General features: G+C 40.0%; 1 protein-coding gene across 5 annotated transcripts in view; it reads right to left on the minus strand.

The window, feature by feature from the left end:
- WASHC5 (WASH complex subunit 5) overlaps positions 1-17,898 on the minus strand; it is a 67,533-nt gene that overhangs the window by 38,342 nt on the left and 11,293 nt on the right. For all 5 annotated transcript variants that reach the window (NM_001330609.2, NM_014846.4, XM_047422502.1 and 2 more), the window contains 6 exons: positions 16,137-16,329; positions 13,747-13,899; positions 12,397-12,510; positions 10,552-10,723; positions 4,991-5,118; positions 921-1,050 (listed from right to left, as the gene is read on the minus strand). In NM_001330609.2, the coding sequence (NP_001317538.1) occupies positions 921-1,050; positions 4,991-5,118; positions 10,552-10,723; positions 12,397-12,510; positions 13,747-13,899; positions 16,137-16,329 (890 nt within the window). The remainder of the gene's footprint in view (positions 1-920; positions 1,051-4,990; positions 5,119-10,551; positions 10,724-12,396; positions 12,511-13,746; positions 13,900-16,136; positions 16,330-17,898) is intronic.

A 17,898-nucleotide genomic window follows, 5' to 3' on the forward strand; every position in this document is an offset into this window, starting at 1 on the left:
CTGGCTTTTCCCTATAGGAACAATAATACAATTTGGAAATATATTTTTGACCAACCACTCAGCATCAAAGAAATAAACAAAAGCTAAAATACAGTAATCACAAGCTCATACTGATTAAAAATAATAGTTTTTAAACAAGAAGCTACACTACTAAGCAATTCTACAGTATAATTAACTTCATCAGAAATAGATCTGATAGTTAAAACAAAATTAAGCGTTAAAAAAATAGTTTGTCACCATAAAATTCAGAATGGTTTTTTGGGAGCAGTTAGAAATTTCTTATTTATAAAAAATTTGAAATGATGCCAGAACTTTCCTATAAATAAAATTTCCTAGAAGAAGTAGGATCAAAATCATTAAAGTAAAATTTTAGTTTGTGTTTTTTCAAAACTAGTCTGCAGTACCCTCTTCTGCTACTAGATAGCAGGTGCATTCGTGAACAAGAATCAAGCAAAATCAGAAGAATTTTAGATATCATCTATGCTGGTAGATTATGACATTCTTGGGTGACGTATTCTTCTTGAGAAGATCATGAGAATTATAGATCCTTTCCCCCCTTTCCCCAAATCACTAAACTGACACATTAGTTTTGCATACCATGGAGATGGAGGCCAACTGTGACTCTCTAAACTCTTGTCTATGAACTGGAGTTACCAAAACCCCTGGTTTAGCATAACCTCACATTTCAAAGATAAGATATAAAACCTGAACTCTAAAATGAATATGAACATTGCCCAAGAGAGCAGAGAGCTAGACGCAGCCAAAACTAACCTTCAGATCTTTATTAGCAACACTAAAGATGGAATATCATAGGATACAATAATGAGAACATAAAGTCTTTTTAACCTGCCAGTTTCCAAGGTTTCAAATAACCTGTGCACACATTCCAAACACACCAGTATTTCCTCTTCAGTAATTACCATTTTTCTCCACTCTGGTTAGGGGTTTCACTCCTGAAAAGACATCAGCAAGCTCAGTCATCCGCTCCGAACCCTCTTTCTTGTAATGCTCCCATTTGGTTTGCTTTTCTGAAAGCATTTGCTTGAACATCTGTTGAAGCAACAGAAAATATTTATTTACTTAAGAGAAAAATCCAGACTAGGCAGCTTATGAAGAGAGCTTGAGGAAACCCAATTTAAATTTTAAATAAGAAGCTACACTATAAATTAACATTGACCCTGATGTCATCTCCTCAGGCACTGATACTTTGCAGAAATTCAGGGACAAAGCCAGACCACCTCCAAAACAGTAGTTCTCACACCAACACCAACAGCACATAAGCACCACCAGGAGGCTTTAAAGTTTTCAGATTCTCAAGGCCCACCCCCAAAGATTCTCGTTCAGGCGGTCTTGAATAGGGCCAGAAATCCGCATTTTTAATGTGAGATTAAATTTGTGACCACTGCTCTATGGTTCCTTCTAGGCAACAATGTCTGCAATTCTAACGTAAACAGTCAGGGACAGTTTGTGTATTACCTTCTCCAATGACTGGGGAATGAACTAGATTACCTGCAAAAGTTCTTTGTTTTATTATACAAGTTTAATTGTTTATTTTTATTTATTTATTTATTATTATACAAGTAATTGTGTTTATTGTTATTTATTTATTTAGTTTTTGAGAGACAGGGTCTCACTCTGTTGCCCAGGCTAGAGTGCAGTGGGGTGATCATGGCTCACTACAACCTTGAACTCCTGGGTTCAAGTGATCCTCCTGCCTCAGCCTCTCAAGTAGCTAGGGCTATGGGCATGCGCCACTACACCTGGTTAATTTTCTTATTTATTTATTTTTTTTTTTTTTGCAGAGATGGGGGCCTTGCTATGTTGCCCAGGCTGGTGTCTCAAACTCTTGGTGTCAAGTGATCCTCCCTCCTTGGTCTCCCACACTGTTGGGATTATAGGCATGAGCCACTGTACCGCCTTAATTCTGTTTATTAATTCACTCCTTCATAACATTTAAATTCTACAAAGTCTTGGGCAGAGAAGAAACGGGTGTAACTCAGGGTTGGGTTTTTTTTTTTTCTGAAACAAACTTAAAAAACATACTTATTTCTCACTAAAGGACACGCCATCTCAGACAAGGGTAGATGGTCTTTTACACCGGGCTCTTAGGAGGTAAACAGGCATGAACTCTGATTTCTCGCTTAAGAAATTCCTCACTTGCCAGCATCATAATAAATCTTGAAAAGCTGAGCAATGGGATAGGGAGACTCCATCTGCAGGTGGAGAATCAGGGCTCTGTGGAATTTTGCGGGGCCTGTAGAGGAAGAATCTTAGTGATCTGGCAGAATGACTAACCAATAAAATGATGACGGAGAGGATGAGGAATAATGAAATTATTTATAGAGTCTACCCTAACTTTCTGAGTCCCTCGGATCAATCAATGCCATTTGATAATGGCAAAGCAACAACATAAGAGCACCCTGAAGCCTTCGTAAGAGACTACATGGCGTCAAGCCCTTCAAACACTCATTCACATGAACTCACAGGTTTCACATCTCACAGGATGGAATTTGGGATAGGGGATGGTCCCTGAATTAGGAAATGTGCTGTCATATAAAGATTAGAAAAAACACAGGTCCAATTACTGTGTCTATAGGATAGTCAGAAAGTGACTCTATGAACTGTGCAGGATGGGAAGTAGGACAGAGGAAGCACAGGTTAAAGAACCCAGCTGAAATGTCAGAAATTCAAATGTATCATTTCTTTGAGCAATTTGTATTGGGTATTTTTTTTTTCTTTTTACCAGAGCTTTCCTGAAGACCTCTAATGAGGTGGTACTCCTTTATGCTGTCTTGTTTCCTGTCTACCTGGATAGACAGAAGGAAGCTGTCCATTCTGTTTCAATAGATTCCAGAGAACAGACTTATCATTAGAAATACAGGCTTGGTCAGTCAGATAGCCTAGGTCTGTCCTGATTTCCACTCAACAATGCTGAACTACATATTATCTATAGAACTCTTGGGTCCCTGGGGCTCTAGTTCATAATTCTAACTGGTCTGAGGGCATTTCTTTCATTCCTTTTTTTTTTTTTTTTTAGGCAGAGTCTTGCTCTGTTGCCCAGGCTGGAGTGCAGTGGCATGATCTCGGCTCATTGCAACCTCTGCCTGTGTTTTCAAGTGATTCTCCTGCCTCAGCCTCCTGAAGAGCTTGGAATACAGGCACGCGCCACTGCACCCAGCTAATTTTTGTATTTTTAGTACAGATGGGGTTTTGCTATGTTGGCCAGACTGGTCTCGAACTCCTGACCTCAGGTGATCCACCCGCCTTAGCCTCCCAAAGTGCTGGGATTACAGGTGTGAGCCACTGCACTCGACTGGGCATTTCTTCCTTGCGGGCATTTTTTCATTTGCCTTTGAAAGGCCACTTTTGCTTTGACCTGGTTCCTGTTCTTGGATCTTTCCTGTTTTCTCATCTTGGCTTAATCTGTCTTTCTTCCCTCACTATACTGACAGGGCAGCTCCTAGACGGTAGGGACACATTTTGTTCATATTTAAATTTCCAGCACCTGGCAAAGAACAGAGTAGGTATTCAATAACTATTTGCTATTCAGAGGGAAACCATTAAAATTATTAATAGATCAAAAAGGAGCAGCATTTATCTGATTTGATAAAATTATGCCCAGACAAATCACTGAAAACACTAAGCACAGGCATTATCATTATGTTAGCAGTCAGTATCTATTTTTTCTGAGCTACTTAGTAGGGGAATATAGTATCCTCAGAAACCTAGAAGATAAAGAAACATCTAATATACTAGTAACCATACTGAAGCAAGATGAGGATCTGTTCCGAATGGGTATAAATGTCTGGGCTAGTTCCTGGGCCCACCTGATCCAAGCCCCCAGGGATACTGGTTATAAAACCTGAGCATTCCCAGGTACCCATCATTTTTATTATGCCCATACAGGCTTCTTCAGAGGTAAGACTAACCTCAGCATTTCCTTCAGTGAACTCAGATGCCTGAAGTCCTCAAGATGACCTTGTACAAATGCAAATCACCCACCCCAGTTAATACCCTTTCCAGTGGTTCTCATGGCTCTTAGGATAAAGACCAAAGTCCTGCAAGGCCTAGTATGGGCTGACTCCTGCCTACCTTTCAGCCTCATTTCACACTACCTTTCTCTCACTCTCTCTCCTCCAGCCAACTGGTCTTTCAGGTCTTTGAATTGTTTATGTTCCTCCTCACCAAAGACGACTTGATATTCTTCCTGTCCCTGGAATGTTCTCCATCACGCTCCCTACCTTTGTCTACCTAACACTAACAGATCCCTTCCCCAGGCCCCTTCAGAAGCTCTTGCGTCTCTTCTCATGGAAGTCTACCAGGATGCAACAGGATACTTTATTCTAGGTACCTGGAGAACTACATTCCTTTCCTTCAGAGCAAATATCTGAGTTCATATTTACATTTTTATTAGTGTGATTCTGTTTTTTTGAGACAGGGTGTCACTCTGTTGCCTAGGCTGGAGTGCAGTGGTGCGATCTTGGCCCACTGCAACCTCCGCCTCCCAGGTTCAAGTGATTCTCATGCCTCAGCCTCCCCAGTTGCTGAGACTACAGCCGTGTGCCACCATGCCCAGCTAATTTTTGTATTTTTAGTAGAGATGAGGTTTCACCAGCCTGCTGGCCAGGCTGATCTCGAACTCCTGACCTCAGGTGATCTGCCCACGTGGGCCTTCCAAGGTGCTGGGATTACAGGCATGAGCCACTGCACTTGGCCTAGTGTGATTCTTTGATTAATGTCTATATTCCCCATTAGGCTATAACCTCTACCATCTTGAGTACCTTTCCCCATCACTGTATCCCCAGTGAAAGGAGGCACTACAGGCTTGTTAAATGTTTATTCCTGTCCTTTAACTATAAGAACTATCTCAACAGCTCAAATCTGTACCTTGAATCAGAGACAGAGCAAGCAATCCTAGTCTTTTTTTTAAAAAATATTTTTAAGCATAAAAAAGCTAAGACTGTGGTGATATTCATTCAAATATTTTTACCTCTTTGAGTATAAACTCAAATTGTGCAGTATCTAACAGCAGCTGGAAGAGGATCCTGGGATTGTACCGAGAGTCTGTTAGAATCTGGTCCTTGATTTGACGAAGGCGTTTGTTGTTTGGGTCACAGGCTAGAAACAGGAAAAGTGTTACCTGCTTACTAAATGTGTAGAAAATATCTATGAAATAAGATAAATTATTAAATATTTTCCTTCATTTTAACCATTTAAAAAGTAATAAGCAAAATGTATATCAATAAAAGATGGTGAAATATAGTACATCTATGCCATGGAGTACAATTAAACTGTTAAATGACAGTTGAATCTGACATGGAGTGCCATCCTTGAAAGATTGTTGAATGACAAAAAGCAAGCTGCAGAACAGTGTTTCCAAATTTTGTGAGCATTCTGCGGTTTGTTTATAGCAACTGTCTAAAACGAATGGGCAGAGCCTCCTTGTACTACTTCATAGCTGGGTGGCTTCCTCACGTCCTGTCTGTTCGGAGTTGCTTTTGCTTTAGACATTGATCCCTGCCATTCAGTAACGGACTGCTATCCCTAGAGAGGCCTGTTTGCAAGGTTGGCTCTTGGCTGGCATCTGGGAACTTGAATTTCACGAAGAGCTGCCATCATTTTGAGAACTCACAAGATCAGCTCACTAAGCCTTAAATGATTGTACAAACAACGTTTTCCTTCTGGAAGTCTGGAATTTTGGTACATGCTGGGCAGAGGCTACCTATGTAAGCAGCCCCCAATAGAAACCGAAGGAAGCTGAGTCTAATGAGCCTTCCTGGTTGACAACACTTCATATGCATTGTCATGACTCACTGCTGGGGGAATTAAGTGTGCCCTGTGGGACTCCACTGGGAGAGGATGCTCGGAAGCTTGTGCCTCATTCCTCCAAATTCACTCCGTGTGCCCTTTTCCTTTGCAGATTTTGCTTTCTATCCTTCCGCTATAATAAATCATAGCTGTGAGTACTACTAGATGCTGAGTCCTCTGTGTCCCTGTAGTGAATCACTGAAGCCAGAGTGGTCGTGGGGAATGCCCGACACAACAAGGAAGGGTTCCTCACACAAAGATGAGGGACCCCCAAACAAGAAGCAGCAGACCTCTGGCCATCCTGCTTCTTGTAGAGGCCAGAGGGCATGGCAGGCAGTCAGAGTTTTCTGAACTATCCACTACCCAGGCACTAGGCCAAGGTCACAAAATTAGGCAGTGATTGACCCAAGGTAAAAATACTGGATGTCCTAATTCTTAGATGATCCTATCTGCCAAGCTAAACCATTTCAAATGAAATAAACGCCAAGTTAAAAGAATAGAATAAAAAATATTGATATTTGCTTAGATTGGTTTATAAGGCCAATTACTTATCTAAGAAAGAGTAAGTAGAATAAGGCAAAATACTTACAAGGCAAAGCTACTGCTGCGGTTTCAATGCGTCTTCCAAAAGTTCACATGTTAGACACTTGGTTGCCATTGTGTCAGCGTTAAGAGGTAGAGCCCTTGGCAGGCAATTGTGTTATGAGGGGTCCACCCTCATGAATGGATTAATGCCATTATCTTGGGAGTGGGTTAGTTATTCCAACAGTGGCTTTGCTATAAAAGTGAGCTCTCTCTTGCACCCACTATCTTGCCCTTCTGCCTATCTGGCATATATTGACCCTTGCTAGATGCTGGCACCATGCTCTTGGACTTCCCAGCCTCCAGAACCATGAGCCAAATAAACTTCTTTATACATTTCCTACTCTGTGGTATTCTGTTATAGCAGCAGAAAATGAACTAAGACAAATAAAGTCAAAATAAAAACTCTAAGACTTAAACAGACTTTGTCAAAAAGTTCACAGCTGATAGGTATAAGGTATATGGTAGTTACACTAGTATTACATGTGCCCCCTCCTGCCTTCCTAGTCCTGCCCCCATCAATATCTCAGGATGTCTGGCAGGTACAGAACAACAATGTTGTATAGATATATGTATATGTCATGGGTGGTTTTGTTGCTTTAGTTATGATGAAGCCTGTGGAAGGTCATCTTATATGCTGATTTCTAAGTTACTCCATCAGGAGGAGACTCGTGACAACCTGGAAAAGAGGCTCAGTTTTCATGGGAAACTGCAAAGTTCTGATTTTTCATGAATTTGCCAGAACTATGTGGGAAGAAATATATTGGAACTGGTGACACTGATTACACAAAGTGAAAATTTTCAGCTCCATATTTACCTAACTAAACAAAAATCAAACAAACTCAGAAGGAGCTCCAGTTGTCTTTATACTAATTTTAATTAAACTAGAAATCTCCTGATTTTAATCTGCTTTCATGTTTGCATAGGGAATGTTTAAGTACCCAGTTGTTGGACAAACACTCTGTATTCCTCAATGTGCTTTAACATTTAGCTTCTTGGTATAAACCAGGTTTGCTTCTGGGGTTCCCAGGGCCTGACCATCTCTCTCAGATCTGACCCTTAAGGATTCATACCCAGAGAACTGCAGAGCCATCAGAACTTTGGGGTCAAACTTCAGTAGCCAGCCAGCCTTTCTCATCCCTTATTTCCTCAGAGAATATTTCTTTACAAGGTTCTGTACAAGCATCCTAAGACTGGGAAATGCCTCCAGCAACTCAACAGGAGGCAATGAGACTAGGCCTGCTTTTCTGAACACCATGACTGAAATTCCACAAAAGTTAACTAAGCAGTTGCTTTTCCCATGTGTGACTCACAATCAGATAGGTCAATCATTTGTTTCTGATAAATTACGACCCTGTGCAATCAGGTCAGACAATTGCCAGGCACAAACGCAAAAGACAAATGTGGCTGAAGATAAAACCACAGACCTCTGGCAAGCCAAGGTTGTCCCTGGCATGGGTGCGAATTCAGGAGACTGCCGGCTTTCCGAACATAGACAGGGCCGTCAGGCAGAGTCACACAGAAGATGAAGATGAGGCTGAGTCACTAGAAAACCCCAGTTGGTTTTATGACAGGATAAAGTGAGGGCTTGAGTTGTTTATACGCTTGTGAATGCAAGACTTTTGGTAAAGAAGATTAAAAGCTGAGTCAATGTAGTAAAATCCTCAAATTAGAACTGGAGTTTATGTAAAAAATAAACTCAACTAATTAAAAACAGATTCAGGGATTAAAAACTTCAGCCATCGTGTTCATACTGTGGGTAAATTGTAAATGGATATAGGCCAACAAACAAGATGATGAAACAAACTGGAAAGCAGCTCTCAGGATAAAGGTTTAAGAAGCTGGAGAGAAGGCTGAGGGGAAACTCCACACATTTTCAAAGATACGAAGGATGAGGAAGTCCAACTGCTGTTTTCACTGTGGACCACCCATAGGAAGTGGAAGCAGACGGTAGCTAGAAGGACTGTGAAGTCATCTTGGCTGGAAGAGCTGTGAGACAGGGGCTACCATGTTACAAAGGAAGGCTACAGAGAAGTCTTGTGTGCACAGTTTTTTAAAGAGACACAGTCTTATCTGGAAGAACAAAGAAGTGCTGCACACAGTGCCTGTCTCAGAGTTGGTCCTCAAGGAAAGTTTGTTGAGTGAAAAACAAAAAGCAGAGGGCTTCACAGGCCTGCTGAATGACACACCTCTTAGGGGTAGGGGTATACAGTCCTGGATGAGGGAATGCATTGGTTAATTAGTGTTGATCCAGCATTTACGAAGAATAAGAAACTGTGCCAGCCCTGAACAAGCTCAGAGATGTTAATTCAACTTACTTATTTTTCTACCATTAAACCAGAGGTTGAAGCATTTCTCACAATCTGAACTTGATGGTCAAACTGTGTGAACAGAAGGTCTCGGAGGAGACCATGACTCATAAAAAGCTAAGATCCAATCTACCTTAAATAAGCACTCTGGTCCAGCCAGGTCATCAACTCAGTGGGCCCATATGTTTTTCTGTACTTTCAAAATCGTATCACTTATTCCATCATTTCTGTAGTCTAGAATTTCTTCTGCTTTTTGCTTCAAAACCTCATCACACGCCTGGTTGGCTCCTGATTCCTGTATGGGGTTTCCTGACCTCCTCTGCTCCCCTATCCCAAGCAATGTTTCCCTCTCTACTCTGAACTCAAATCACACCAACTGTCTGTTTGACACACCTGGTGTCTGTTTACTGCCTTGGACCTTGAATTAGTTTCCCGCTGCTGCTTTAACAATTACCACAAACTCAGTGGCTTAAAACAACACAAATTTATTCTCTCACCATCCCAGAAGTGACAAATCTGAGATGGGGCTCACTGGGCTAAAATCAAGGTGATGGCTGCGCTGGGCTCCTTCTGGACATTCTAGGGGAAAAGTCTGTTTTCTTGTTTTCAGCAGCTAAAGGCTGCCTGTATTCCTTGGCTTGTGGCCCCCTCCATCTTTAAAGCCAGCAATGGCCAGTCAGGTTTTTGTCACAATGCTATCTCTCTGGTTCTGACACTTCTACCTCCCTCTTCCTGATTTAAGGACCCCTATATTTACAGGCTGGGCATGGTGGCTCAGACCTATAATCCTAGCACTTTGGGAGGCCGAGGTGGGCAGACTGCTTGGGCTCAGGAGTTTGAGACCACCCTGGCCAACACAGTGAAACACTGTCTCTACAAAAAAATACAAAAAACTTAGCCAGGCATGATGGCACACACCTGTAGTCCCAGCTGCTTGCGGGGATTGCGGAAGTTGTATCGCTTGAGCCCAGGAGGTCTGAGTGAGCTGAGATTGTGCCACTGCACTCAAACCTGGGGAACTTGAGATCCTGTCTTAAAAAAAAAAAAAAAGTGGGGGGGGGGGGCGGGCTCTTATTTTATTATTCTTTTTTGAGACGTGGTCTTGCTCTGTCACTTAGGCTGCAGTGCAGTAGCATGATCTTGGCTCACTGCAGCTGCAACCTCCCAGGCTCAAGTGATCTTCCCACCTCAGCCTCCCCAGTAGCTGGGACTACAGGTGTGTGCCACCATGCCCAGCTAATTTTTTTACTTTTTGTAGAGATGGGATCTCACTGTGTTACCCAGGCTGGTTCTGAACTCCTGGGCTCAAGCTCTCCTCCTGCCTTGGCCTCCCAAAGTGATGGGATTACAAGTATGAGCCACCACACACAGCAAGGACCCTTATGATTACACTGAGTCCACTGGGATAATCCAGAAACATCTCCTTAAAGGTCAGCTAATAGGCAACCTCAATCCCCCTTTTTCATGTAATATATCTACCGGTTCAGGGACTAGGGCATGAACATCTCTGGGTGTGGGCTGGAAGGCACTATTCTGCCTACCACAGATCTGCAGTTCTATTTTTTCATATGTCTACATTTGATCTCCCCATTCTGATCAGTGACAAGCTCCTTGAACATGAGAGATAAACATCCTCTTATTCCCTAGCACCTAACAGTACCTGACAGGGGAGAGCTTTTCAGGTATGCTAGTGGCCTATCCAAGTTGACAAAAAATGACTAACTTTAAAAAGCAACTTGATTCTCATCCAAGGCCTCTCTCCCTGCTAAACCACTCTGCATCGTGAAGTAGGTCCTGATTCTGAGAGTCTTTATGTGGAGTAATATAAACGGCCACCCCTTTTGTGCATTACCTGAGTCTGCTGTATGAAGCATCAGCCATCGGATGGCAACATTGCAGTCTCTCAGGCAGTTCAGAAGCTTTGGGATATTGTCCAGAACCATCTCCTCCCTTAAATAACCTTCTTTTAGAAATTGCTGCACTTGAGCATGCACTCTTTCACTGACAGTAGCATATCTGCTTGCCTTGACAAATAAGAAACTTGAATTACATTTAAAAAGTCATTTATCTTGAAAATAAATCACATTCAAATGAATTCACTGACAAATAGTAACATTTCTATATAGGATGAATGACATATGGATTACAGTTATAGGGCTCGAAGATAACATTTCTATAAGATGAATGACATATGGACTACAGTTATAGGGCTCAAACTTTAACATTTTTATATAATTTCTGTACAAGATGAATGACATATGGACTACAGTTATAGGGCTCAAACATTAACATTTTTATGTAATTTCTATATAAGATGAATGACATATGGACTATAGTTCTAGGGCTCAAAGATAACATTTCTATATAAGATGAATAACATATGGACTATACTTATTGGGCTCAAAGACAACTGGCTTATTGAACATATTTGAAAAAAGCACTGGACTTAGAATTCTGAGACTACATCCTAGTTCTGGCTGTGATTAAACTTTGGTGTGACTTGGGGCTTAACCCCTGTGTATTGGTTTCTTCAAATTTCAAACGGAGACTTGGACCAGGTGGTTCCTCAGAACTCTTCTATTATTAACTTAGATGAAAAAGAAAATAAAGACAGAAGTTCAATTGCTTGTTCTTGCTAATACTGTTGACAAAGAAGGCAGAACAGAGCAGAAACACTTAAAATATAAGACTTCTTCTACAGGCTTATGAAAGCTTAGCAAAAAATACACCTTAGTATATCAAAAATGAATTTCCAAACCAGCTTTTTGGAAAATTTGGTCATTCTGCTTTACTTAAAGGAAGTCAAATGTTAAACATCATTAACCTCATCAAGTTAGTTGAAATCTGTGGTATCAAGAAACCTCTTAAAAATGTCACAAATGAGAAAATGCAATTTTAGAAAGGGATTTTAGCAATGAAAAATTAATGATCTGATGTTGCTAAGTATAAAAGTGCCACTTTCTCTAATATATTTCTAGGAGATGTGCCAACATTGAAATTATTTTGTGCATTATTTATGGAATTCAATTTACTTGAATAAAACATGATGAAGTTTTTTGAGTCAATATTGTTTTATCCACACAGGAAACTCAGTAACTGAGCCAGGATGAGGAACATAACCATTTAGAAATATCAAGTATGCTCCCCAAGATTTTATCTTTATTCCTCTACTTACTTGGATGTTCCCTTCTGCCTTGTGTAAGAACAAAAGAGATAGAATATAACCGTTTAACCTTTAAGATGAATGTCTTGAGTCTTGTTGCTTATTTAGCACAACACAAATGATAAATTTAAATTACAGTGACAGGACATATTATCCATATTCAGTTATCATCTTCATCATTCATCCTACTTATAAAAACATATTAATTCCAGCTATTGGTACAACCAACTCTGGCCATGAGAATATAGTCTTTAAGCAAAAGTAAACTAAGTCATTTGGGGCATATGCCATGCTTCTTTGTCTTAGGGTACTGACTCTTCCTTGGGATCCTAATCTTCAATTTACATATACTATATAACAAAACCTACAATTACCTATCTTATTCTAACCTATAAAATTCACCTTTTATTAATCATTGCATTAAATTATCTAAGTGATTATCTTCCAAATTCCTTGGGAAATCTACTTAGCTTATTTGCTACTTCATAAACTAGGCCTGCAGTTATCAGAGAATGTCCCCAGATTAGAACCTACCTGTTCTCTGACATTTGAAAGGTCCAGGGTATTATTTAAAGCAGTTTTTGCAGCTTTGTAAGGTTCCCAAGCATCTACTAGATTAACTGTGATCCCCATGTAAATACTAATTACCTGAAAGAGGAGACATTCAGAATTTGTTAAATTCCTACTCACTTCAAGGCAAAGGGTTGAATACTAAAGTTATAGAAGGCAATACCCACTCCATGTTTAAATTCCATTCCAATGAAAAACCAAGATTTTCCAAATATATAGGTAAGTGTTCCTGATTGTTAAGTAAGTGTTCCTGATTGTTAATTCACGTTAATAGGTATAAAGATCTCTTTACACCTATTAACGTTGCTTTTTGAAATTCTCTATTGTGTAATATTAATGTTTTCTCACCAGTTGTTTTATTGGTTGGCAATTGCCTGGGATATCTTTTTTTAAAATCCCTTCATTTTCACTGTGCTAGGGTATTTTTTCAGGTGTGTATCTTACAGGTTTCATGTAATTGGATTTTGGTCTTTCTTAATAATAAATATGTCTTTAATTATAGTATCATGGTCAAAACTTCTTTATTAAACTTAGGAACCTGAAGCCACACTATCAGTGTTTTCCTCTTGGCTGCTCAACTCTGAGCTCACTAATATGATTCACAGTTGGCCAGGAACCACCACTTCCTAATGTAGGCTGTTCTCATACTACCAATAAATTGAAGGCCCCTCATAACGATAGTTTATGTGATTCAACAGCCGATATAGAAGCAGAACAAAATCTGCTACATGCGAATATAATCCAACTCCCTGCATTTTGTTAAAGCCTCTTTGTTTTCATATATTTCATTTCATATATATTATGAAGCAAGCTTTATTCCTATAAGAATATTTTTAAATGAAACAATGCTTACAAAGGTACAAGCATATCCTTGCAATAATATAAACTTTAGTAACCCCATTACAGTTAGCTTATAGGTAAAACTTTATTATTAAAGTGAAATTCCTATTCACAAAGTGACAAATTAGATGAATTTGGCTATCTTAGATTCAGAAAATGGAAAAGAATAAATAAATTCTTACACAACTTAGTTGTAATCTCAGTAGCTAAAGCAAGAGACATTTTAATAAATGATTTAATCTTGAGAGTATCCATTTTAGAAAAAGACTAGTGGGTTCTTCAGGAAGTTTTACTGACTCATTTATTCCTTCATGTTATAATTATAAAATTCTCAATACAGTTAGAGCAAGTTTACCTAAGTGATGTTATGTCCCATTATTTACAACATTACAACCTGTGGGTTAAAGGCCAAAAGAATGGGAAGTTAGTTCTCTAACACATTTACTGTAGAGGAAAAAAATTAGCAATACTTGCCCAATTATCTGGAAAGTATTTATCCACTATCTCTCTCATTTTTGCTTGATGGGTGTGAAGGATGGAAGGCTCAAAGTAGAGAATCACGTACAGCATGGCAGCTTGGTTTGCCAGGGCTGTGCTGCGATGCTCCGGCAAAGGATACGCTGAGACCTGCAATGTCAAGACGACACCCCGAGAAAGCTGTTGGCAACATTTGCACGTAGACATGCTCAAATTAAACTCTCTGGTTGTAAGACACATCAGTTTTTCCAAAGCCCATCACCTTTCAGGATCCTGGACACTGGAAGCCCTTCTCAGACTGTACCATTGCTTGCCAAGGTCTTCCTTCTTATTCCTAACACCATAATATTCTCTTCTTCCAGCCCTTGACCGCTGCAATTCTAAGTCTTTTCTTAAAAAAAAAAAAAAAAAGTCCCATTCCTGTGTCTCCCACCACTTCTCCATTTTTGTATCTTTCCTGTTGGAGACAACCCTTAGAACTGACAGGCTCCACTCACTGTTGCTATTTTCTCACTTTCTGTTTATTATTCAACTCACTGAAATTCGACCTCCATCATCATCCCAGTGGAATTCCCTACGGTCGCTCATGACCTCACAACCATCCAATTCAACGGCTTCTTTTTAAGACTCTCACTTAAATTCTCTGAGGAATGAAATCTCTCCTTCTCTGGTTTCCTAGATACCACTCTCTCTTCTCAATCTCCTTTGCTGAGTCCTCATCTTCTGCCTTTTAAATGTTGGTGTTCCCCAGGGGTTCATCCCCTCACGTACTAGAAATCTTTGGATGCACAAAGCACATATCACCTTGAGCTACCACAAGCAAAAAGGAGAGAAATTGTTATAAGGGCAGACATAGCCATGTCACATGAAACCTGCAGGCAGGTATGTGGCCAGGCCACAGGAAGCGGCTGGGGCTGGGAACCGGAATGCCTTCGCTCTTTCTCCCCTTGATGTGTTGGCCCACCTTTTCTCTCCCTCCAGGCTACTCGCCATATACATGGCAGAATGAGGCTGCCCACAAACTCCCAATTTTGCATGTTGTGGATAAACTCCAATCCAGAAACTGTTTCTCAGGCCCAATTCCAAATTACCTGGAGACAGAATCTGTTCCATCACCCATGACCAGGGATGGGGGAGGTGCAGGACAGAGAGTGGGGTGGACACACAGCACAATCACAGCTTAACCCTTGTGCTAATAAAGATCATGGGGCAAGGAGGAAATGGAAGCACATTGCCTTCAGAAGGACGTGGAATGAGAGGCAATCAGGAATGAGATGCTCTGAATTGACACAGACCAAATTCAAGTTATGGTTCTGCTACTTAGTAACAGGAATTTAAGGAAATTATTTAAGCTCTCCAAGTCTTATTCTTCTCAACAGCAACATGGGGGATAATGCCATCTACTTTACAGGGCTATTGTGAGGAACAGAGAAAATGGTATGGGAACAAAACCTCCTTTGTGGCTGGTTTGGACTGAATTCTCAATGAATGGCAACAATTATTATGGAGACCTGGCATCTGTGGGTAGCTTCTGATTTTGAATTGTCTTAAAACAACAACAACAACACCACCAACAAAAACCCTCTTATTTATACTTAACATATTCACACAAAAAACTAACAAGCTACCTAAAGAACTGCACAGATCAGGTTCATTCTGTGATAAATGATATCCACAGTTATCACAGGCCTCTTTACTCCCTAATTATAATTTTTACAAATATTTAAATATATAACATCTAAAATTATGTTTTCTTCAGAAGAATGAAGTCAAATGGTAATTTTATTTGGCGTTTTTTAAAAGGAAGTGACTACTACACATACTGGCAAGGGGAGTGGGGCGATTTTCAAATGCTGCATGATCTTCACAGCCTTGCTCAGGCTGCCTCCTTTCCTGGCACTCCTCTTACCTTCCTTTTGTCACCTGTTGTGACCTTGCTGCCACTGCTGCATGCTCCAGTGGCACCCTGTGCTTACCCTAAGATAACACCCATCTTGCTTTACTATAATCCTGTCATCTGCCTTTCCTAAGCTACAAGCTCAGTAGGGGCAGGGACATGGCCTGTCTTCTTCGGTGATGGGTCCCCAGCATTGCGCATGTGAATGGGCACGTATCACATACTCAACAACCATTTCTTGAATGAATGACTAAAAGAATGCATCTTCTTCCCAATAGCTCAAATTCCATCTTCTCCCTGAAATATATGATTCTGGCAAAATTAATAACCCTCTTTCCTTTATCATCCTGGGGTGTAGCTCAAAAGGTTTTAAAAGGTTCTACCTGCTTTTACTCTTTTGGGAAAGAAGGAAGGAAAGGAGTAATTAAAGAGGGAAGTGAAATCAGTCTGTTAAACTGTCTTAATAGGTCTTAATAGATTTAATTCCCACCTGGTTGTAAATATCATCAGATCTCAGTCGACCAATGACCATACTGATGAAGGATTCGTTGATAGGCACTCTCTGGAAATAGCTCTCGGGATAGTTGGATGGTCTTTTGGCACCTGGTTGGCTAGAATAACCTGTACTTCGAAGCAGCTTACAAATATCGTCCATATTTGAATCAGCAGAAGATCGAGCAGCACTGAGTCATATTCACAATGGGAAACAAAGACCCAAAACACACATATTAGAAACTGAAAAGTCCAATAAAGTAGAATTCCATTCTACTTTGACTCAATATAGTTTCAGATATGATCACAGGTCCATCTATATCCTCAATATATCCTCAAGATTCAAAATTATGTGTATATATATGTGTGTGTGTGTGTATATATATATATATATATATATACATTTTTTTTTGAGATGGAGTCTCGCTATGTATGTATATATAACCTTTTTTTTTTTTTTTTTTTTTTTTGAGATGGTGTCTTGCTCTGTCACCCAGGCTGGAGTGCAGTGGCGTGATCTCAGCTCACTGCAACCTCTGCCTCCAGGTTCAAGCAATTCTCCTGCCTCAGCCTCCTGAGTAACTGGGACTACAGGCATTTGCCACCGTGCCTGGCTAATTTTTGTATTTTAGTAGAGATGGGGTTTCACCATGCTGGCCCAGGCTGGTCTTAAATGTCTGACCTCAACTGATCCACCCACCTTGTCCTCCCAAAGTGCTGGGATTACAGGTGTGAGCCACTGTGCCCGGCCTCAAAATTATATTTTTGAAAGCCTGTTTAGAAGATGGGTATTCATACTATGTAAAGGTCCATAATCCCTTTTCCAAAATCCTTAGGAGTGGATTTGTTTCGGAATATAGCATTTTTCAAATAGTAAGAGTCATATGGCATATAGATCATACACAATACAACACTCCAGCAGGGTCTGAATTGGCATCTCATGATCAACATAAGTGAATAATTCTGGAGGAAAATTTATAAATATTTACAAAAGTGAGATAAGTGAAGACTATATATAGCCTCACACCTATTCCAGGCAAGTTTTGACTCCAAATGATTTCAGCTTACATCAGGTTTTGCTGCCAAATGAATTACTATGTATATGTACATGTGTGTTGTGTGTATACTCGTGTATATATATTTTTTCAGAGCTCTTTGGATTTGAAAATTGTGGGTAAAGAATGTGAACCTGACATTTTACAAATTAAAAAATAATTTAAAAATATTATGTCAATTTAAAGTAAAATATATCTAACTTTTTTCTTGGCAAGCTGTTCCTTCTACAGAGATCTAATAAACAGGTCTGTGATTTTTCCGGGTGGAATAGTAAGCTCTGAAAGAAATGAACTAGATTCAAAGAATCTTAGACTTGGATATGACCTGCTATTTGCTGTAAGGATCTCTTTTGCCACGACTGTGACTTGGAAGTGTTCAGTGTCACTTCAATAATAAATGCTCACATTCTAATGAATTAGCTGTTGTACCAAAGGGGACAAAGCCATATTTTCAAAACTGGGCTTCATAAGCCAATATTTTTTTCTTCTTCTTTACACTGTGTATAGTTTTTGTTTTTCCAGGTACTCTCAGAAATATAGGAAAGGCCATTCAAATCTCATTTTTAAAAACATGGATGTTAAAACAGCTTGGTCAAACTGACATGAATGAACACTGCTAGAACACTCCCTTCAGCTGAAAGGAAAAGGCTAGTTGAGGAGCCTAAGACTAATTTGCTGCTGAGGACACAGTAGTACCTGGTATTG

The sequence above is a fragment of the Homo sapiens genome, chromosome 8 (genome assembly GCF_000001405.40).
Source record: "Homo sapiens chromosome 8, GRCh38.p14 Primary Assembly".
In the NCBI taxonomy this organism is placed as follows: Eukaryota; Metazoa; Chordata; class Mammalia; order Primates; family Hominidae; genus Homo; species Homo sapiens.